The sequence below is a fragment of the Homo sapiens genome, chromosome 7, assembly GCF_000001405.40.
Source record: "Homo sapiens chromosome 7, GRCh38.p14 Primary Assembly".
NCBI classification, from domain to species: domain Eukaryota; kingdom Metazoa; phylum Chordata; class Mammalia; order Primates; family Hominidae; genus Homo; species Homo sapiens.
In genome coordinates, this window is record NC_000007.14 from 150,034,385 (window position 1) to 150,056,475 (window position 22,091).

Sequence of the window (22,091 nt, forward strand, 5' to 3'; positions counted from 1 at the left end):
TAGCCCCAGGGCTGGGGCTGCCAGAAGATTTTCTTGTAACTCATGAAAAACTTGCTGTTGTTGGGATCCCCATTTCAAAACTTCCATGTCCCCGCCCCCTTTGTGACCTCATACAAAGGCTTGGCTAATACTGCAGTTTGGGATCCACAGTCTACAAAATCCCACAGCTCCTAAGAATTCTCTCACCTGCCTTCTGCCCTTAAGCTCCGGTAGATTGCAAATAACCTGCTTTCTTTCTGTTCCCGAGCTGCCTTCGGACCCGTCGGATCGTAAATCCCACGTAAGGTACCTGCCGTCGGAAGATTTGAACTTTCTACTTGGACACCTAATACCCACAGTCCTCCAGGTGGGTCCTAAGGATCCTAGGATCAACGAAGGGGGCCCTAAGCCAGGGGGGGAAGAGGGTCTGGCTCTCAGTCCCCGCCTCGTGGGGGGTGCCTCCCCCCTCTGCGATGGGTGTCCTAAGAGCCAGTGGGGGAACAGGGGCTGGCTCTCAGTCCCTACCTCGCGGGGGGTGCCTCCCCCACCCTGCGATGGGGGTACTAACAGCCAGGGGCGGAAGAGGGGATAACTCTCAGTCCCCACTCTCGTGGGGGGTGCCTCCCCCTCCTGTGATGGGGGTCCTCAGAGCCAGGGGGGGAAGAGGGACTGGCTCTCAGTAATCCCACGTAAGGTACCTGCCGTCGGAAGATTTGAACTTTCTACTTGGACACCTAAAACCCACAGTCCTCCAGGTAGGTCCTAAGGATCTTAGGATCAACGATGGGGGTCCTAAGCCAGGGGGGGAAGAGGGTCTGGCTCTCAGTCCCCGCCTCACGGGGGGTGCCTCCCACCTCTGCCATGGGGGTCCTAAGAGCCAGTGGGGGAACCAGGGGCTGGCTCTCAGTCCCTGCCTCGTGGAGAGTGCCTCCCCCCCCTTGCGATGGGGGTACCAACAGCCAGGGGCGGAAGAGGGGATAGCTCTCAGTCCCCACCCTCGCGGGCGGTGCCTCCCCCTCGTGCGATGGGGGTCCTAAGATCCAGGGGGGGAAGAGGGACTGGCTCTCAGTCCCTGACTCGCGGGGGGTGCCTCCCCCGTTGCGATGGGGGTAGTAACAGCCAGGGGCGGAAGAGGGGATAGCTCTCAGTCCCCACTCTCGTGGGGGGTGCCTCCCCCTCCTGCGATGGGGGTCCGCAGAGCCGGGGGGGAAGAGGGACTGGCTCTCAGTAATCCCACGTAAGGTACCTGCCGTCGGAAGATTTGAACTTTCTACTTGGACAACTAACACTCGCAGTCCTCCAGGTGGGTCCTAAGGATCTTAGGATCAGCGATGGGGGTCCTAAGCCAGGGGGTGAAGATGGTCTGGCTCTCAGTCCCCGCCTCGCGGGGGGTGCGTCCCCCCTCTGCGATGGGGTTCCTAAGAGCCAGTGGGGGAACCAGGGACTGGCTCTCAGTCCCTGCCTTGCGGGGGTTGCCTCTCCCCCCCTGCGATGGGGGTACCAACAGCCAGGGGCGGAAGAGGGGATAGCTCTCAGTCCCCACCCTCGCGGGGGGTGCCTCGCCCTCCTGCGATGGGGGTCCTCAGAGCCAGGGCGGGAAGAGGGACTGGCTCTCAGTCCCTGCCTCGCGGGGGGTGCCTCCGCCCCCAGCGATGGGGTCCTAAGAGCAAAGGTGGGAAGAGGGGCTCGCTCTCAGTCCCCGCGTCGCGAGGGGTGCTCCCCCCCCTGCGATGGGGGTGCAAAGAGCCAGGGGGGGAAGAGGGGTTGGCTCTGAGTCCCCGCCTCGTGGGGGGTGCCTCCCCCCCCGCGATGGGAGTCCCAAGAGCCAGGGGGGAAGAGGGGATGGATCTCAGCCATCACAAAATGGGGGGCCTTTATGTTCAGGTTTTGCCCAAGAATCAGCTTATTTGCTTCTTGTACTAGCAGGGCAGTTGCTGCCAAGGCCCTCAAATAGGGGGGCCATCCTTTAGCAACCCTGTCTAGTTGTTTAGAGACGTAGGCTACGGGCCTCAGCCAGGGCCCCACAGTTTGGGTTAAAAGTCCAGCTGCCATCTTTTCTCTCTCTGACGCATACAATGGAAAAGGCTTTGTCAGATCGGGTAGCCCCAGGGCTGGGGCTGCCAGAAGATTTTCTTGTAACTCATGAAAAACTTGCTGTTGTTGGGATCCCCATTTCAAAAGTTCCGGGTCCCCGACCCCTTTGTGACCTCATACAAAGGCTTGGCTAATACTGCAATGTTTGGGATCCACAGTCTACGAAACCCCACAGCTCCTAAGAATTCTCTCACCTGCCTTCTGCCCTTAAGCTCCGGTAGATTGCAAATAACCTGCTTTCTTTCTGTTCCCGAGCTGGAGCTGCGTTCGGACCCGTCGGATCGTAAATCCCATGTAAGGTATCTGCCGTCGGAAGATTTGAACTTTCTAATTGGACACCTAACACCCACAGTCCTCCAGGTGGGTCCTAAGGATCTTAGGAGCAACGATGGGGGGTCCTAAGCCAGGGGGGGATGAGGGTCTGGCTCTCAGTCCCCGCCTCGCGGGGAGTGCCTCCCCCCTCTGCGATGGGGGTCCTAAGAGCCAGTGGGGGAACCAGGGGCTGGCTCTCAGTCCCTGCCTCGCGGGGGGTGCCTCCGCCCCCCTGCGATGGGGGTACCAACAGCCAGGGGCGGAAGAGGGGATAGCTCTCAGTCCCCACCCTCGCGGGGGGTGCCTCCCCCTCGTGCGATGGGGGTCCTAAGAGCCAGGGGGGGAAGAGGGACTGGCTCTCAGTCCCTGCCTCGTGGGGGGTGCCTCCCCCCCTGTGATGGGGGTAGTAACAGCCAGGGGCGGAAGAGGGGATAGCTCTCAGTAATCCCACGTAAGGTACCTGCCGTTGGAAGATTTGAACTTTCTACTTGGACAACTAACACCCACAGTCCTCCAGGTGGGTCCTAAGGATCTTAGGATCAACGATGCGGGGTCCTAAGCCGGGGGGGGAAGAGGGTCTGGCTCTCAGTCCCCGCCTCGCGGGGGGTGCCTCCCCCCTCTGCGATGGGGGTCCTAAGAGCCAGTGGAGGAACTAGGGGATGGCTCTCAATCCCTGCCTCGCGGGGGGTGCCTCCCCCCCCTGCGATGGGGGTAGCAACAGCCGGGGGTGGAAGAGGGGATAGCTCTCAGTCCCCACCTTCGCGGGGGGTGCCTCCCCCTCGTGCGATGGGGGTCCTAAGAACCCGGGGGGGAAGAGGGACTGGCTCTCAGTAATCCCACGTAAGGTACCTGCCGTCGGAAGATTTGAACTTTCTACTTGGACAACTAACACCCACAGTCCTCCAGGTGGGTCCTAAGGATCTTAGGATCAATGATGGGGGGTCCTAAGCCAGGGGGGAAGAGGGTCTGGCTCTCAGTCCCCACCCTCGCGGGGGGTGCCTCCCCCTCCTGCGATGGGGGTCCCCAGAGCCAGCGGGGGAAGAGGGACTGGCACTCAGTCCCTGCCTCGCGGAGGGTGCCTCCGCCCCCAGCGATGGGGGTCCTAAGAGCAAAGGGGGGAAGAGGGGCTCGCTCTCAGTCCCCGCGTCGCGAGGGGTGCCTCCCCCCCTGCGATGGCGGTGCAAAGAGCCAGGGGAGGAAAGGGGGAGGTTCGCAGTCCCCGCCTCGCGGGAATTGCCTCCCCCCCTGCTATGGTGGTCCCAAGAGCCATGGGGGGAAGAGGGGTTGGCTCTGAGTCCCCACCTCGCGGGGGGTGCCTCCCCCCCTGTGATGGGAGTCCCAAGAGCCAGGGGGGAAGAGGGGATGGATCTCAGCCATCACAAAATGGGGGGCCTTTATGTTCAGGTTTTGCCCAAGAATCAGCTTATTTGCTTCTTGTACTAGCAGGGCAGTTGCTGCCAAGGCCCTCAAATAGGGGGGCCATCCTTTAGCAACCCTGTCTAGTTGTTTAGAGACGTAGGCTACGGGCCTCAGCCAGGGCCCCACAGTTTGGGTTAAAAGTCCAGCTGCCATCTTTTCTCTCTCTGACGCATACAATGGAAAAGGCTTTGTCAGGTCGGGTGGGCTGCCAGAAGATTTTCTTGTAACTCATGAAAAACTTGCTGTTGTTGGGATCCCCATTTCAAAAGTTCCGGGTCCCCGCCCCATTTGTGACCTCATACAAAGGCTTGGCTAATACTGCAGTTTGGGATCCACAGCCTACAAAACCCCACAGCTCCTAAGAATTCTCTCACCTGCCTTCTGCCCTTAAGCTCCGGTAGATTGCAAATAACCTGCTTTCTTTCTGTTCCCGAGCTGCGTTCGGACCCGTCGGATCGTAAATCCCACGTAAGGTCGGAAGATTTGAACTTTCTACTTGGACACCTAACACCCACAGTCCTCCAGGTGGGTCCTAAGGATCTTAGGAGCAACGATGGGGGGGTCCTAAGCCAGGAGGGGAAGAGGGTCTGGCTCTCAGTCCCCGCCTCGCGGGGGGTGCCTCCCCCCTCTGCGATGGGGGTCCTAAGAGCCAGTGGGGGAACCAGGGGCTGGCTCTCAGTCCCTGCCTCGCGGGGGGTGCCTCCCCCCTGCGATGGGGGTACTAACAGCCAGGGGTGGAAGAGGGGATAGCTCTCAGTCCCCACTCTTGTGGTGGGTGCCTCCCCCTCCTGCGATCGGGGTCCTCAGAGCCGGGGGGCGGGGAAGAGGGTCTGGCTCTCAGTAATCCCACGTAAGGTACCTGCTGTCGGAAGATTTGAACTTTCTACTTGGACTACTAACACCCACAGTCCTCCAGGTGGGTCCTAAGGATCTTAGGATCAACGATCGGGGGTCCTAAGCCGGTGGGGGAAGAGGGTCTGGCTCTCAGTCCCCGCCTCGCGGGGGGTGCCTCCCACCTCTGCGATGGGGGTCCTAAGAGCCAGTGGGGGAACCAGGGGCTGGCTCTCAATCTCTGCCTCGGGGGGGTGCCTCCCCCCTCCTGCGATGGGGGTACCAACAGCCAGGGGCGGAAGAGGGGATAGCTCTCAGTCCCCACCCTCGTGGGGTTGCCTCCCCCTCCTGCGATGGGGGTCCTAAGAACCCGGGGGGGAAGAGGGACTGGCTCTCAGTCCCTGCCTCGCGGGGGTGCCTCCCCCCCTGCGATGGGGGTACTCACAGCCAGGGGCGGAAGAGGGGATAGCTCTCAGTCCCCACTCTCGTGGGGGGTGCCTCCCCCTCCTGCGATGGGGGTCCCCAGAGCCAGGGGGGGAAGAGGGACTGGCTCTCAGTAATCCCACGTAAGGTACCTGCCGTCGGAAGATTTGAACTTTCTACTTGGACAACTAACACCCACAGTCCTCCAGGTGGGTCCTAAGGATCTTAGGATCAACGATGGGGGGTCCTAAGCCGGGGGGGAAGAGGGTCTGGCTCTCAGTCCCCACCCTCGCGGGGGGTGCCTCCCCCTCCTGCGATGGGGGTCCCCAGAGCCAGGGGGGGAAGAGGGACTGGCTCTCAGTCCCTGCCTCGCGGGGGGTGCCTCCGCCCCCAGCGATGGGGGTCCTAAGAGCAAAGGGGGGAAGAGGGGCTCGCTCTCAGTCCCCGTGTCGTGAGGGGTGCCTCCTCCCCTGCGATGAGGGTGCAAAGAGCCAGGGGAGGAAAGGGGGAGGTTCGCAGTCCCCGCCTCGCGGGGATTGCCTCCCCCACTGCGATAGTGGTCCCAAGAGCCAGGCGGGGAAGAGGGGTTGGCTCTGAGTCCCCGCCTCGCGGGGGGTGCCTCCCCCCACTGCGATGGGAGTCCCAAGAGCCAGGGGGGAAGAGGGGATGGATCTCAGCCATCACAAAATGGGGGGCCTTTATATTCAGGTTTTACCCAAGAATCAGCTTATTTGCTTCTTGTACTAGCAGGGCAGTTGCTGCCAAGGCCCTCTAATAGGGGGGCCATCCTTTAGAAACCTGTCTAGTTGTTTAGAGACGTAGGCTACCGGCCTCAGCCAGGGCCCCACAGTTTGGGTTAAAAGTCCAGCTGCCATCTTTTCTCTCTCTGACGCATACAATGGAAAAGGCTTTGTCAGATCGGGTAGCCCCAGGGCTGGGGCTGCCAGAAGTTTTTCCTTTAACTAATGAAAGACTTGCTGTTGTCGGGATCCCCATTTCAAAGTTTCCGGGTCCCCGCCCCCTTTGTGACCTCATACAAAGGCTTGGCTAATACTGCAATGTTTGGGATCCACAGTCTACGAAACCCCACAGCTCCTAAGAATTCTCTCACCTGCCTTCTGCCCTTAAGCTCCGGTAGATTGCAAATAACCTGCTTTCTTTCTGTTCCCGAGCTGCGTTCGGACCCATGTCTTATTGTAAATCCCACGCAAGGTACCTGCCGTCGGAAGATTTGAGCTTTCTTCTTGAACACCTCATACCCACAGTCCTCCAGGTGGTTCCTAAGGATCTTAGGATCCCCGATGGGCGTCCTAAGCCAGTGGGGGAAGAGGGGCTGGCTCTCAGTCCCCGCCTTGCGGGGGGTGTCTCCCCACCCTGTGATGGGGGTCACAAGAGCCAGAGGGGGAAGAGGGGCTGGCTCTCAACCACCACGAAATGGGAGGCCTTTATGTTCAGGTTTTGCCCAAGAGTCAGCTTATTTGCTTCTTGTACTAGCAGGGCAGTTGCTGCCAAAGCCCTCAAATAGGGAGGCCGTCCTTTAGCAACCCTGTCTAGTTGTTTAGAGACGTAGGCTACCGGCCTCAGCCAGGGCCCCACAGTTTGGGTTAAAAGTCCAGCTGCCATCTTTTCTCTCTCTGACGCATACAATGGAAAAGGCTTTGTCAGATCGGGTAGCCCCAGGGCTGGGGCTGCCAGAAGATTTTCTTGTAACTCATGAAAAACTTGCTGTTGTTGGGATCCCCATTTCAAAAGTTCCGGGTCCCCGACCCCTTTGTGACCTCATACAAAGGCTTGGCTAATACTGCAAAGTTTGGGATCCACAGTCTACAAAACCCCACAGCTCCTAAGAATTCTCTCACCTGCCTTCTGCCCTTAAGCTCCGGTAGATTGCAAATAACCTGCTTTCTTTCTGTTCCCGAGCTGCGTTCGGACCCGTCTGATCGTAAATCCCATGTAAGGTACCTGCCGTCGGAAGATTTGAACGTTCTACTTGGACACCTAAAACCCACAGTCCTCCAGGTGGGTCCTAAGGATCTTAGGAGCAACGATGGGGGGTCCTAAGCCAGGGGGGGAAGAGGGTCTGGCTCTCAGTCCCCGCCTCGCGGGGGGTGCCTCCCCCCTCTGCGATGGGGGTCCTAAGAGCCAGTGGGGGAACCAGGGGCTGGCTCTCAGTCCCTGCCTCGCGGGGGGTGCCTCCCCCCCCCTGCGATGAGGGTAGCAACAGCCGGGGGTGGAAGAGGGGATAACTCTCAGTCCCCACCCTCGCGGGGGGTGCCTCCCCCTCCTGCGATGGGGGTCCTAAGAGCCAGGGGGGGGAAGAGGGACTGGCTCTCAGTCCCTGCCTCGCGGGGGGTGCCTCCCCCCCTGCGATGGGGGTACTAAGAGCCAGGGGTGGAAGAGGGGATAGCTCTCAGTCCCCACTCTCGTGAGGGTTGCCTCCCCCTCCTGCGATGGGGGTCCTCAGAGCCAGGGGGGGAAGAGGGTCTGGCTCTCAGTAATCCCACGTAAGGTACCTGCTGTCGGAAGATTTGAACTTTCTACTTGGACAACTAACACCCACAGTCCTCCAGGTGGGTCCTAAGGATCTTAGGAGCAACGATGGGGGGTCCTAAGCCAGGGGGGGATGAGGGTCTGGCTCTCAGTCCCTGCCTCGCGGGGGGTGCCTCCCCCCTCTGCGATGGGGGTCCTAAGAGCCAGTGGGGGAACCAGGGGCTGGCTCTCAGTCCCTGCCTCGCGGGGGGTGCCTCCCCCCCCCTGCGATGAGGGTAGCAACAGCCGGGGGTGGAAGAGGGGATAACTCTCAGTCCCCACCCTTGCGGTGGGTGCCTCCCCCTCCTGCGATGGGGGTCCCCAGAGCCAGGGGGGGAAGAGGGACTGGCTCTCAGTCCCTGCCTCGCGGGGGGTGCCTCCGCCCCCAGCGATGGGGGTCCTAAGAGCAAAGGGGGGAAGAGGGGCTCGCTCTCAGTCCCCGCGTCGCGAGGGGTGCCTCCTCCCCTGTGATGAGGGTGCAAAGAGCCAGGGGAGGAAAGGGGGAGGTTCGCAGTCCCCGCCTCGCGGGGATTGCCTCGCCCCCTGCGATAGTGGTCCCAAGAGCCAGGGGGGGAAGAGGGGTTGGCTCTGAGTCCCCGCCTCGCGGGGGGTGCCTCCCCCCACTGCGATGGGAGTCCCAAGAGCCAGGGGGTAAGAGGGGATGGATCTCAGCCATCACAAAATGGGGGGCCTTTATGTTCAGGTTTTGCCCAAGAATCAGCTTATTTGCTTCTTGTACTAGCAGGGCAGTTGCTGCCAAGGCCCTCTAATAGGGGGGCCATCCTTTAGAAACCTGTCTAGTTGTTTAGAGACGTAGGCTACCGGCCTCAGCCAGGGCCCCACAGTTTGGGTTAAAAGTCCAGCTGCCATCTTTTCTCTCTCTGACGCATACAATGGAAAAGGCTTTGTCAGATCGGGTAGCCCCAGGGCTGGGGCTGCCAGAAGTTTTTCCTTTAACTAATGAAAGACTCGCTGTTGTCGGGATCCCCATTTCAAAGTTTCCGGGTCCCCGCCCCCTTTGTGACCTCATACAAAGGCTTGGCTAATACTGCAAAGTTTGGGATCCACAGTCTACAAAACCCCACAGCTCCTAAGAATTCTCTCACCTGCCTTCTGCCCTTAAGCTCCGGTAGATTGCAAATAACCTGCTTTCTTTCTGTTCCCGAGCTGCGTTCGGACCCATGTCTTATTGTAAATCCCACGCAAGGTACCTGCCGTCGGAAGATTTGAGCTTTCTTCTTGAACACCTCATACCCACAGTCCTCCAGGTGGTTCCTAAGGATCTTAGGATCCCCGATGGGCGTCCTAAGCCAGTGGGGGAAGAGGGGCTGGCTCTCAGTCCCCGCCTTGCGGGGGGTGTCTCCCCACCCTGTGATGGGGGTCACAAGAGCCAGAGGGGGAAGAGGGGCTGGCTCTCAACCACCACGAAATGGGAGGCCTTTATGTTCAGGTTTTGCCCAAGAGTCAGCTTTTTTGCTTCTTGTACTAGCTGGGCAGTTGCTGCCAAGGCCCTCAAACAGGGTGGCCATCCTTTAGAAACAGTAATATTAGTAACAGCAGCAGCATGTATTCACTGGGCACTTCTCAGTACCTGGCCTCATGGCTCCCACTTTGTAGGCGCCAGTGGGATCAAGAGAGGGCAACATTGCAACTCTCCATGCTCCTGCAATATCCATGGCTATTCTGTAGGTGGGTACACCAAGCACTGGTCCTATTGGTGATGAGAGTAATGGGATCAAGTAGACAGTTGAAAGATTTAGACTTTTTCTCATTTATTAGGAAAATCATGTGAAACTTAAAAAATTTTAAATTACAGTTGAAACAGAAGAAAAGTAATAGAGTAGAGTATATAAACATATTTGTAGAGAGAAGCTAGTTAAGAAATCGTAAAGTTGATAGATCCCAAGGACACATTAACAGAATGTTGACATTATACCAATGGAAAACCAAGGTGGAGGAAAAAAGATTGGTTGGTTGTCGAAGACATAGCGGATGATGAAATTGGCCCTTCCAAGGCTGGTGGACATCATGGGTGGTGATTTGCTAATGTCTCCCAGTTTTAACCAATTTGCTGCTTTAAAATCCTGTTGTCATCACATTTGTATTGCAAAGAAGCCACATGTCACTGAAAATGAAGGATACAGGAACACACTGTATAACCTTAAAAAAACTACTGCTCTAATGGTACAGAAGGCCTCCAAAGCCCTTTAAAAAACTAAAAAGAAATGTTCAAGCAGGCGGATGACAAAGTTCAGTATTTTAAAATTAGCCACAGTTAATCCAAATGAAAGTTAATAAATTCCACTAAAAGTCACTTCCAGCAACAATTCCTTTAAGAGTCAACTTATTTTTAAACCTACACAATGAATTTTAAATCAGAAGGGCTATTGATTCCTCAGAGGAGTTGCCCAAGTAATTGACTTTATATTTAAATAAATCTAAGATTTACAAGGAAGTGGATAGAGAAGACCCTCTGGTTTTATTTCTATTTTGAAGTCAGACTTTGCATGTTAGTACTGACCCACCCAAAACAGGCTTTCCTGTGGAGCCACACAGTTGGGAAGTCCCTTTGTTGCCTGTGTAGTTTGTGCATTTAGACCCTGCATTATTAATTCTAGCCATTCTATCTCCGCATTTTATTTCTCTGTGTTAGCCTTGTTAGACTACCATAAATTTTATTTGGGGTGTGGCTGGGTAACTGCCCATTCTCAGTCATACTCAGGCATGTAGGTGTACACACATGCACAGAAGCCAAGAACTATATTTCTCAATTTGCAGACAGAAAGACAACAGGTACAAAGCCCTAAGGATTATAAAGGTATGCTGCTTACCATCATCTTAGTGACCAAGGCAGCGAAGCTGTTTCTGTACCTTGGAACAGTCTTCCCTGACAAGCCAGAGAACAGTGATAAAGCCACCAGCCTTGGGATCAGGACTGAAAAGGCAAGAGTGATGGAGATTTCTCCTGCGCTAAGCCAAGAGAAGGTTTCAGCACTTCAGACAGCTCCCACCGAAGTAGCCGCGCTCCCAGCTGCTTGCAGATGTTGAAAAGGAAAGCCTCGGTTTGTCTTGAGGTTGTCAGCAGGTGCAAGACACGTAATAAAATGCAATGTGTTCCTAATTCATTGCATATCCTCAGCTTTAAATTTGGGTAGCAAAATGATTACTCTAGATTCTTCAGTCTTGGCAAGTATCTGTACCTAAAAAGCAGTTTTTCTACCTAATGTCTTTTTTTGTTTTTGTTTTTCAATACACCTTAAGCAAATTGAAGCTTTTGTTCCTGGAGGAAAAGTGGTTTGATATGTTCATCTATCTTTTAGTAAATTTGGGGGCATAACTTTTCCAATTCTGAGGAACTTTTCTAAGAAGAGTGCATAAAAGTTTGTTGTTGTTTTTAAAGGATGCAACATTCAGCCTGTGTCATGAGTTTAATTATACAATTTAAAGGACATATGTGCAATGCATTTTGCAGATGTGTGCCGGATATATATGTGCAGATAATGGGCAAGTATATATGTGTGCATATATATATCGGGAGTATACTATATAAACACACAATACACGCCCACCCACACACATTGTGTATTTTCCAGAAAAAAAAAAAAAAGCATGTCAGGACTTACATCTAAGTTAGAGATGCTGTTTAGAACCCCATTAAAAAATGTACATGTTATATCCCTGATTTGTTTCTCAGGACACCTGTGTTTATGTGAGAATCATTTCTAGACACATGTCACAATAAAAAGAAGGACATGTATACTCCAAGTTAAGATTTTTTAAAAAAAGATGGAGATCATCTGAAATAAAATTCAGAGCTCTTGCCTTTCCTTTCTCCTAGCGACACCTAGAGCCTGTTGAGAAAAAAACTGCACATTGTTCTCACTCCAAACATCCACAATTCAACAATTTTAAGTCAGATTTAAGGTAAAAAGTACATTTTTCCTGTTTGCATTGCAGCTTAACTGTCTTCCCCAAGATTCTCGGTAGTTTAATCCTCCAGAACTCTTCACCCTCCCCCAATTAAACCATTTGCCAAAGACTTGAACCAGATGACTGAAGGATCTGTCTATTTCCCTCAGGGCTTGGCCCACCAAAGTGAGGGACATGCCTTTGAATGACTATTGAACCAGGGGAGTCTGGAAATGATGCAGGAGAAAATCACAAAACCTCGTGCAAAATCTGACGCAGGGCTGTAGGGGGTGTGTACCTGTGTGTGTGCAAACCACATCTCCCACAAAGTTTTGTGATCTCCATTAAAGTTTCCACATCCTTCATTCATAAAACAAAAACTACCAATAACAACAGCAAAACCTCACTGATTTCATAGTATCTGGCAATTAGGAATTGTCCCTGGGAAATCACTCAATGTCTCACCGCCCCCCCCCCCCCGACCCAAACACAACTCTTGCACTAAAGAAATATGAAACAGGGAAACAGCATGGCTGGAGGCTGCAGAGGTAATGACCAAAACCACCTACTCAGTGCCGGGCAATGTACTGCCCTGGGTACGTCAGGGTAGACTAAGTGAGAGGCCGGTGGGACCCCTGCGGTTCCCAGGTTGAGCAGTTGTGAAACTCCTCAAAGGCATACATAGTAATTTCTACAAACCAACACAGCCTAGCTGTTATAAGAGCTGTACCAGCCAAGCCAGACCTGTTTCTCTGAGAGCCTGTCGGGGATTTTTCTCTTTTCCCTGGGAAAAGAAGGCCTCAAAGAAAAAGCACAGTTTCCTCCCTTCTAAGTCCTAGCAGCCCTCTGCATCCTTGAAAGGGATCCACAGGAGGTGGTTAAACGCATCCATCTAAGGTCCGGCTCCTGTCCTGCATGAGTCATTGGTTACTAGGGCGATGTGCAAATCCAACCTTTGAAACCCAGGCTTCCAGCCCCCATGAAGAGTAGGAAATGTGCTCTCGGAGAAGTTTTCACTGAACACGGTCTAAGGCAGAGGTGCTAGTCCAGGGCTGGGAGGGGAGACAGACACGGCCTGAGAGCTCTCAGCAAAATTGCTGGGCCCTGGGACAGAGGGTTGGGGCTCAGATGCCAGTATTTTGGTATTTTTTTTTTTCCGGAAAGGATAATCACCACCACCACCGCTGGGGGGAAAAAGTGTCTAGGAGAAGTAAGAAGAGGAACGAAGGAGAGGCATTTGAGTCAAGGGACAGAGTGAGTAGGAGAGGAGGGGCACGATGGAGAGATTCCAGACACAGGTGGGAGGGAGAGAAGGTGCCTGAGGCTGTGTTCCCGGAGCACGAAATAAATAAAAAATAAACCAACTCGTAAGCACAGGCCGATCGAATTCTCTCCTTAGGAACCATAGCAGCATGCTGTTAAAAACAGACATCCGCACATCCAGGGAACGTAAGGCGAATTCCAGATCCCAGCAGGCGCAGTACCCAAACCCCGCTCTCTCCAGCCACCAACTCCCGGCCGCCGCGGCTGCAGACACAGACCCGCTCCCTCCGGGACGGCGATGACCGCGATCTGGCGCCACGGAGCCTGTCTGGGGGCGCCCGGAGAGTCGTGGGCTGGGGGAGGGCGCCTGATTCCCCCCCCCACAGATGCCCCCGGCCGACGCGTCTCGCTGCGCGCTCAGCCCGGAGCCCCCGCCGCCGTCCCCCGCCCCCGAGAAGCTCTTACGTCCTCCTTGTCACCATCGCTCCGCGCCTGGTACTGGAACCGGGGCCGGCCATCCGCGCCGCCGCCGCCGCCGCCGCCGCGCTCCCGGGGCGCCGCCGCCTGCGCCCGCGGGCCGAGGGGCTTGGCTCCTGCGCCGCCGTCCTCCTCGGGCCCCTGGCCGCCCAGGAGGTGACTCGCCTCCGGGGGCGTGGGGAAGGACCTCGAGGTGTTGATCTTGCCGGTGAACCTCTGGTACAGCGAAGCCATCGGGCACCGCGCTCCTGCTGGCTGTCTTTAGGGCTTTTTAATATTTTGCTTTCTCTCCGGTTCCCACTCCCCACCCCGCTCCAGATTAAAAAAAAGGCGGTGGGGAGGCAGCAGCAGCAGCAAGGCAAGCCCAGCGCCGGCGACCGCTCCTCCCGCGCGCCACTCGCGAGTCTCCGCTGGCGACTCTACCTGGCTCAGCCTCCTCCGCCCCCTCCCCGGCGGCTCGCGAAGCCGGGGCTCTGGCTGTTCTTTCTCTCTTTCCTGTTTTTATAATTTTTTTCCCCAACTCCTTGCCACAGCCACGTACGGCCTAATCAAAGAGATTGAAGGAAGAAAAAAAACCAAAAACATAAAGCGAGGGAAATGCCTAGGCCCCAGAATTTGGCACCACCTAGAAACCCGCACACATTCCGAGCGCTCTCCTCGCTCCCCGCCCCCAGGCCCCTCGCGCAGCTCCTCCTCCACCCCGGCCCCTCCGCCCCCTTCCCCACCGGCCTCCTCCCCGCGCCCGGGACTGGCGCCTGGGTGGCAGGGGTTGGCAGCCCGGAGAGGGCACGGGGTCGCACAAAAAGGGTGCGAGGGTGCGTGAAGAGGGTGGAGGGGCGGGGACCACGCGGGTCGTGGGTGCGGGGGCGGTGGGGGAGTCCCGGGAGCTGAGGGTTCTGCGGCCCCGCCGAAGGTAGTGCTGCGCGTGCCCCGCAGCACGCGAGCGGACGGTGCAAGGGGATGCGGAGGTCGAGGCAGGCAGGCCGGCCAGGGGGCGACTGAAGGTGCAGCCGGCCCCGGGGCGCCCCAGCCACGCACGCGCTGCGGCGCCGGGCTCCCCGCGCCCCCAGCTCTTCTTGCCTAACTTGAAGCAACACCAGAGACACCCCGAGGACCTGGGGTGCAAATGGGGCGTGGGAGAGCCACCAGGAGGGCGCGGGGTGGTCGGACGACGCTGGTGAGGAGGCCGCCCTCCCTCCACAGCCCAGCTCCCTCCGAAACCGCCCCTTCCCTTCGCCTCTCTCCGGAGGAGAGCAGGAAAGGTCGCGGGGCGGCAGAGGACGCCCAGAGGCCCAGGCGCCCCTCGCGGGCGCTGCGCCCCGCAGAGAGCCCGGCTGTGACCGTGACTCCATTCTCATTATCATGAACGCAGGCGGAGGCTCGGCTCTCCGGCTGCCCGCAACTTTTCCAAAGCCTGCGCCTCACTGTGCCCGCCGAGAGCGAGGGAGGGCGACATGGCTCCACTCGCCGCGCGCTCTCGGGCTTGCCTCCTGCCCAGCCGCAGGAAGGCGCGCTCCAGCGCCCCTGTGTGGACACCCGCACCAGCGGGCTCCGCTCCTCCGCTCCAGGCCCGGCCTGGCTTCTCTTCCCCTCCCGGCCCTCCCGCGTCCTCCCCGGCTCCCTCCTGCACTCTTCTCCGTCCTTCTGGAGTTGCTGGGCACGCGTCTCTCTCGTCTCGTCCCCACGTCCTCCTTGCGCGCCCCTTCCAGCCCTTCCCGGCCGGGAAGGACCTATCACATCCAGAGAGCGAACGTGGGCCGGGAAACCCCAACTCCAGAGGGGGGAACCTGTGAGACCCGCCCCTGCCCATTCCGCCGCCTCCTTCCACATGGAGGTAGGTCGTTGGCTTCATCTCCCAGGACTGCTAAGGCTCCCTGCTCCTTCCGGGTTTCCATGCCTGTTTCCACTTAGGGTTTCAAAATAACAGGCTCGGCCGCCACGCACAAGGCTGACTGCAGGCTCGCCCCCAGCCTTGGCATTGCCCCAAGCCCAGAGAGAGGCCTGCCTGGGCCTGAAACTGCATGCTCCCTCTGTTTCCCTAACTGCGGGGGAGAATACTGGATGCCGGTGAACAAGTCTCCTGGGAAGAGACCTCCCTTCAGTCCCTTCCACCTGCCTCCCTTCCCCAAGCTTTCAATCCAGTGTGTAGTTTTTGGTTTAACCAAAATTTGTACCACGCTCATCTTCTGTTTACTCCACAGTAGTTACCCTTTACTATGAAGAAACATGAGTTTAAAAACACTTTAAAAAAATAGCAAATACAAAACCAAGTAAAACCAGGATTGCAACAGCTAAGCAAAACTTGCTGCATGGGAGAGGCCAGGCAGGTGGGTCTGGGGTGGGGAGAGCTTCAGCTGCTCCATTTGACTTTGAAGACAGAGGCAACAGAGCCATAAAACTAAACTTTAAAAGTCACCACAATTAGATAGATAGAAAACCTTGCTCTCAACCCCCTCCTCTGCCCCAGCTGTGCTTTTGATGGGAGGAAGCTGCCTCTCCTAACATGGACATGAAAGAAAGCTCATGCTATTCACCGCAGCATCGCGATCCTGACATTTCACTAAATATAGATGCAGTTAGGGTCCCACTTATGTAATATACATATGCTATCTATGAAATATGCATGCATATTTTTACACAAACTAAATGTCATACTAATATAGTTTATACAAAATACAATACTTATGCAGAATAGTTTATGTATCATACATGATACTTCATAGATGTGTGCATATTAATCATAGAATACTATTGGGATAAAGCATATGTGCCACTTTTAAAAATTATATTCTCAAAGCATTGTAGGTAACTATAATCTAACCAAAGTTTAAAATCTCAAATTATCTAAGAAAATATGATAAGCGATTTCTGCTTAAAATTATAAAATGAAATCACCATAAAACTCATAAGCAACAGGGGAAAGAGTTGAAATAAAAATTTGTGCTGGGAAGCAAATCTCACAATTAAGCAGAAGAAACGGAGGGCAGGGGAGGAGGGCAGGAAAGAGCGAGCGTCTGAAAGATGCAGGTGTGAAAGGAGCCGGAATGCTGGGGAGGACTGGAAACAGCATGGATGAACACGAGGATGTTCCTCAAGGATGATCCAGATGGAGCGCCCTTTACCCAAATTGAAAAGCGCTTGGCTATACTCTTGCAACTTGCACACTGAACGCGGTGCTTCTAGGGACATTTTAAAGAATGTTCTGGCCGGGCGCGGTGGCTCACGCCTGTAATCCCAGCACTTTGGGAGGCAGAAGCGGGTGGATCACGAGGTGAGGAGATTGAGACCATCCTGGCCAACATGGTGAAACCCCATCTCCACTAAAAATACAAAAATTAGCCAGGTGTGATGGTGGCGCCTGTAGTCCCAGCTACTCAGGAGGCTGAGACAGGAGAATTGCTTGAACCCGGGAGGCGGAGGTTGCAATGAGCCGAGATCGCGCCACTGCATTCTAGCCTGGCGACAGAGCACGACTCCATCTCTAAATAAATAAATAAATAAATGTTCTATACCTCGTGTGTATGTGCATGCACGTTTATGCACCCACACATCCAAATTTGTGTTAAGCACGGATACACACATTGCAGTCGAGGGTGTGAGGACACTGTGGTCCCACATATAAAAGAATAAAGTGGTTAGTATGTTAGAATAAGTGAAGTGATACAATTTTAAAGACTGGCAAGCTATGGCATGTTATGTTTATGATGTATAATTAATTCAATTCTTGTCTCTAATCACCTTTCACCTCCCCTTATCCACACACACACACACACACACACAAACAAGGAAAAAGATACCCCGAAGAGGAGCAAAAGTACCCAATGGGCATTTCAAAATAGGTGTAGTGGTTCGGAAGGAAACATGTCAATATTTCCCTCTACTCAATTTCTCCTTGAACGTCTGAAATACACTGTGGCGATGAAGCAGATTTTTATTCCTACTTATTGGGTGTGAGAAAATATTTTTGAAAATATTTTGCAAATTATTTAATGTCGAGTTTAATTCTTCCATGCTGCTCCAAACCAAATGCCCCCAACCCATTTTTCTATCTAGTTTCATATGATTAGTGCTTCCCTATTTATTACAAAGGTGTGGGTGTGTGTTTATTTTCCCTAGAACAAATTTACAAAACAAATATAAGTCATTGGGATTAGGCAGATGCTGCAAAATATGTTGGATAGTCATTTTTAAAATGACAATGAAGGCAAATTTTTGGTCTACCTGCAAGCTAAGCATTGTAGGAATAACAAAAGTACATCCATTGAGTTCAGCAGCCTAAGCATGATTTTTATTAGCTAAAAGGTTTTCTTATTTCTGAGAGAATTATATCCTGTAGTTGACTTCCCTTTTCTCTGGGTGCTGAGGGAGAAGGACAGAACCATATTTAAGACTGTTTTTTCTTTTCCAAATACTAATATTTGAAGAAATGAAATGGCTAAGTTAGCATACTCTGAAGGAAGGTCTTCCCTAAAACAGTGGGCATCACTGTCTTTTACATATTATCAGCTTGAACTCATAAACGGGGAGAAATTTTAAAAAATCTGGGTAGCTTGAGAAAACACAATGCTAAATGCATAAATAGAAGGCATATTCTCCACTCTGAAAATCTGTTTCTCACTCTCTATCTCTCAAAGCATGTTTGGTTTCTTGTTTCCGTTTTTGTTTTTTGCAAGAGAACTCTCCACTAGGGGCTGGGTAGTAAGACCTTTTACACACCTTCAAACAGGAAATATCCAGCACACACACACATACACACACACACAATAATTGCTATTTCAGGCTTTTGAAAAACAGAGTTAAAGTATGAATTGGGTCAATTTGGGCTTTTCAACTTAATACTTAAAAATTATGTTTTATGTAAAATCATTTGTTGTAACCCAATAAATAGCCTTTCTCTAACATCAGTAAAGTTAAGCTTCAATCTCCCAATAGCACATGTCTCTGCATTTTAGCCCTACCATTGTGTCACTGCTTGGATCTTACACAGTTCAAAACATACGTACAACTAACTACACTAGTGTCATGTACACAAACACAGTGGTTGATTAACACGAGTGTTAAGGTTTATCGCCAGGTGAGCTGCACAAGCTTTTGATCCTACGCAAATGGCTGGTGCCAACCTCATCCCATGTTTTCTCTGTGGCCCCTCGGAGGGCTGCTCACAACCTTACCACCTTCCTCTAGGATTCTCCCCTAGTTCTTCATCTTGCCTTTCTACATTTAACCATAATCGACTCTTCTCCTCCCACTTTCTAACTACCTTTCTTCACTTCTGTTGTCTTGCCTTCATGCATGTCCCTTCTCTGCATCAATATCTGTAGGCTATACGTAGAATATATATTATTTTCTCTAAAACTTCCTTGCTGCCCTCTGAATAGTTATCAAATCTTGCCTTGTGCTACCAACATTGCCTCAGAAATTATCCAAATAATCACCTCTCACCCTGGAGGAGGCACGAACTCCTGTCATTTCCTATTTTCTGGTGACACAATGATCGTTTCCACAGTGCTTCCCAAGGCTCTTAGGTTTTTGGAGCATGGGGTATAGAAGACTGTCTTCTCTTTCTGTTTGTCCCTGGTGATCATTTGACCATAACCATGTTGTTCTCCAAAACGTCTTAGTTCATAGATCAAACTGTATTAGATTAAACGAGATATGACTTCTGCTCCAAAGTGCCCCTAGAGCGCCTTGCCCTTTTCAAACCACACACTTCTTAGGGTCAGGTGAATTAAGTTAAATATGATTCCCTTCAATGTTAAAGTGATAGGAATGAGTCTCTGCACTTCAGTGCTTTAATTTTGTAACCAGGAGAGGTGATGGCTGCATTCAGAAAAGAAGAGAAAGCTTGTGTCTGTTCTCTCTGCTGACCACTGGCATGCCTTGTGAAGGACCAAGTCCTGCTTGCGGTATGGTCAGCCTTAGAACTGTCTGTGAGCCGCAGGGAACAAGGGCTTACACTGTCTTCTGGGGACATTGGCATCAGCCCAGAGGCATTCTCAGGCTTTGACTTCAAAGCAACAGCGAAACCAAAATGGATAAAGATAGGGTCAGTCAAATGCAACGTCTTTTCCTGACAGCAAAACAAACAGAGCCAGTGTCAACTCATCAAATCCTGCCACGTAAATTGGTACTCTCCTGCAGGCTAATAGAAACAGTTACAGAAAGTGGAAAACTTGACTTCACTAAAAATTACTGCAGTTACAAATAAAGGAAGGGGGTATAGTGTATTTCTAAAATGTGCATCTGGACTAAGATTTAGGGAGGGTTGAGCGTGAGCACAACTTAATTCACCCCCGAAAGAGAAGGCTTGTCAGCCAGAAATAACAAAATAAGAAAAGCCCAGCAAGTTGGCCCCCAGGTCCAAGTACTGCAGATTCCAGTGTATCTTTCCATCTCTTCTTCCAACAACACAATGACTGTGAAACATAAGGAGGGAAGAGGAAATAGTCTTCCTTTATGTGACAAACCCCCTTTTCAGATGTTCAGTGGGACAGTCTGAGTAGCAGCGTCTTCTTTCAAGAGCATAATATAGCGGAGCATGTGATTGCATTTCCAACCTATAAATATCCAGCTCCTGAACACTCATCTTTGAGTTCTAAATGGAATAAGCCATTATTTCCATATTCAAAACTGTAACAGACTGGAATGTTGTTCAGCAAATACTACTCTCCACCCCAGGCCCCCTGCAGGGAAGCATCTTAACCTGTCCCCTGACACCTACTGCCACCCTGACTTTGAGACTGGTCATGTGACTTACTTGGACTAATGGGATGTGCGTGGACATGATGCAGGCAGAGGCTTTGCAGCTGCTTGCATACCCTGGCTGGCTTCTGCACTCTGATGATCCACCATACAAAAACATGTCCCTATTGACAGCCGATGCTTTAGCCTGGCCCCAGAACAAACACACTTGGAGAAGACCTCAATACAACCCACAGCCTGGGGCTAAGCCAGATAATTGGGGAGCACAAAGCAGTCTCTTAGCCGAGCCCAGTGTAGACCAGCTGAATCACAGTTAACCAGCAGAAATGTGGGTCTTGGAATAAATACTTGTTGGGTAAGTCACTGAGGATAATTGGTTAAACAGCATGCTTGTGTCATTAAAGCCAAATCAATGCATGAAAAAATGGCATGGTCAAGTCCATGCTTCTTGTAGGCATTTCACTTATTCAGTTAACACCTGAGCACTGACTATGTGCCATTCATTGTGCTATGTTCTAAGGATGAAATGATGAACTACAGTGAACTTGCTTTCATGCAGATGATCATCAGTACTCCTCAAAGTGAAGCAAGACTGATACTACACATTATCCGACTGATAATGCTTTTCTTTTGTGAATAGATGCCGTTTTCTCAATTTCTTGCTCCTTTTGGTACATTTGGAGCACTGCTAGTCTTACTACAAAAGGACTGTTAGAAACCACTAGCTTGCAAATGTGTTCACAATAAAGCTGTGATTTATTTATTATAGCAGCACCAAGTAGCATTTTTAATCTACTCATACAGTGGCTTTCAAAGAGTTGTTTCTGGACCAACAGTGAAAGCATCATTCAGGGACTTGTTGGAAATGCAGATTCGTGGGCCCTGTCTCAGACCAACTGAAACAGAAACTCAGGGCTGGGGCCAGGCAAGCTGCATTTAACAAGCTCTCCAGATGATTCTGATGCATGCACAAGTCTGAGAACCACTGCACTAGAGCAATGTACTAGAGCAATTTTCTTCATGGCACCAAGGTGACCTGGAAGATTTCTCAAATGTTTGCTCAGGTTTCAGATAACAGCTTATACATTTAAAGGATTGGACAAGGATTCTCCTAAGGGTAAGGATTTTTCAAGAATAAAAAAAAGAAACCATTTAAATGAGGGAGGGAGTTTTTTTTTTTTTTTTTATCTTTGCTAAGACTTTATTCAGAATCAAAAAAGAATGCAGTCCATTTAGTCTTTGCAGGACATTTTCAGAAGCTGTTTCGCCCTTGAACTGATGTTTAAGTTTCATGTCAGGAAGAAGGTAGAAATCAAAAGGGAATTGTCAAAGCAAAGGCAAAGATATGGTCAAACTATCATACCACAACTGTTGTGGCTTATCTGAGATACTCTGATTTTGTACCTTAGCAGAGAGCCTTTCCCATCTTGCCAGAACATATGCAGTTTGGCAGAAGAACTCTGCAGAACTGCAAAGAAAAAAAAGCCTTACTTTCAAACACTGATTTCATAAAAAAATCTTCCGTGCCTCTAGTTTGGACTCATTGCTTTTTTAATGCAATAAAAAAATCCTGTCCTTAATTAAAAATCAATAAAGTTAATAAACATTTAAAGTTGAAACCTGACTTTTATGAACTTAATTCTCCTGAATCCACTCCTTTCAAGCATGTTAAAGCGTTCATTATAAAATCCATTTAATTTTATTTTTCACCATCACTTAAGATTCCCTCTAAATTTCCATGTACAAATGGAAATATCTACAAATTTAAAAAATGGGTTGATGCTACTTTAGGTAGATCGGTAGCTTTTCTTGAATTTTAACATATTCTCTGAACCACAGGTGCATGTTTAATATTTATAAGCAAATATCAGTATACACACAATAGATCTTAAATATGGAGAATGAAACCTAACCTGGAAAAAGAAATACCCCACACAGGAGGTATCAGTGCAAAACCCTGATTCATGCATATATGTGGGTTCTCATTAATGAAAACAAATTGCATTAGGAGCAATAAAACTGAAATGAAACCATGTATCTGCTTCTTGTGGGTAATTTAATTCACTGTGGACTGTAACTTTATCAGCACCACTATGCCCATTTCCGAACAATTTCCTTCTCATAAAGGGGAAAAATAGGTTTGTCTATACTAC

The 22,091-nt window shown here is 51.8% G+C and overlaps 1 protein-coding gene and 1 long non-coding RNA gene across 22 annotated transcripts in view, besides 4 other annotated features; one reads left to right on the forward strand and one right to left on the reverse strand.

The window, feature by feature from the left end:
* The window catches only part of ACTR3C (actin related protein 3C), a 442,186-nt gene that overhangs the window by 153,025 nt on the left and 267,070 nt on the right, over positions 1–22,091 (reverse strand). For 7 of the 21 annotated variants that reach the window (NR_147022.2, NR_147020.2, NR_147021.2 and 4 more), the window contains exon 1: positions 13,225–13,331. The exons of the other annotated variants lie outside the window; for them this stretch is intronic. Coding sequence is in view for 4 of the 7 variants with exons in the window: in NM_001351027.2 (NP_001337956.1) it covers positions 13,225–13,277 (53 nt within the window). In the remaining 3 variants the exon portion in view is untranslated. Of the gene's footprint in view, positions 1–13,224; positions 13,332–22,091 lie in introns of those variants that run through there. 21 annotated transcript variants of the gene reach the window in all.
* Positions 1,182–1,697: an enhancer, noted in NCBI's record as "H3K27ac-H3K4me1 hESC enhancer chr7:149732655-149733170 (GRCh37/hg19 assembly coordinates)". NCBI's record gives its function as "activates a minimal SCP1, AML or CMV promoter by ChIP-STARR-seq in primed H9 embryonic stem cells {active_cell/tissue: H9 hESC(primed)}" and the evidence as "EXISTENCE:reporter gene assay evidence [ECO:0000049][PMID:30033119]".
* LOC100134040 (uncharacterized) lies at positions 6,971–10,988 on the forward strand. Its single transcript, NR_148939.1, has 2 exons — positions 6,971–7,077; positions 10,366–10,988. It is a non-coding gene; the product is annotated as an uncharacterized LOC100134040 (long non-coding RNA).
* Positions 14,383–15,017: an enhancer, noted in NCBI's record as "H3K4me1 hESC enhancer chr7:149745856-149746490 (GRCh37/hg19 assembly coordinates)". NCBI's record gives its function as "activates a minimal SCP1, AML or CMV promoter by ChIP-STARR-seq in primed H9 embryonic stem cells {active_cell/tissue: H9 hESC(primed)}" and the evidence as "EXISTENCE:reporter gene assay evidence [ECO:0000049][PMID:30033119]".
* Positions 15,018–15,651: an enhancer, noted in NCBI's record as "H3K4me1 hESC enhancer chr7:149746491-149747124 (GRCh37/hg19 assembly coordinates)". NCBI's record gives its function as "activates a minimal SCP1, AML or CMV promoter by ChIP-STARR-seq in primed H9 embryonic stem cells {active_cell/tissue: H9 hESC(primed)}" and the evidence as "EXISTENCE:reporter gene assay evidence [ECO:0000049][PMID:30033119]".
* Positions 19,036–19,330: a silencer, noted in NCBI's record as "tiled region #3139; K562 Repressive non-DNase unmatched - State 21:Repr". NCBI's record gives its function as "represses a minimal TATA promoter and a strong SV40 promoter by Sharpr-MPRA in K562 cells {active_cell/tissue: K562}" and the evidence as "EXISTENCE:reporter gene assay evidence [ECO:0000049][PMID:27701403]".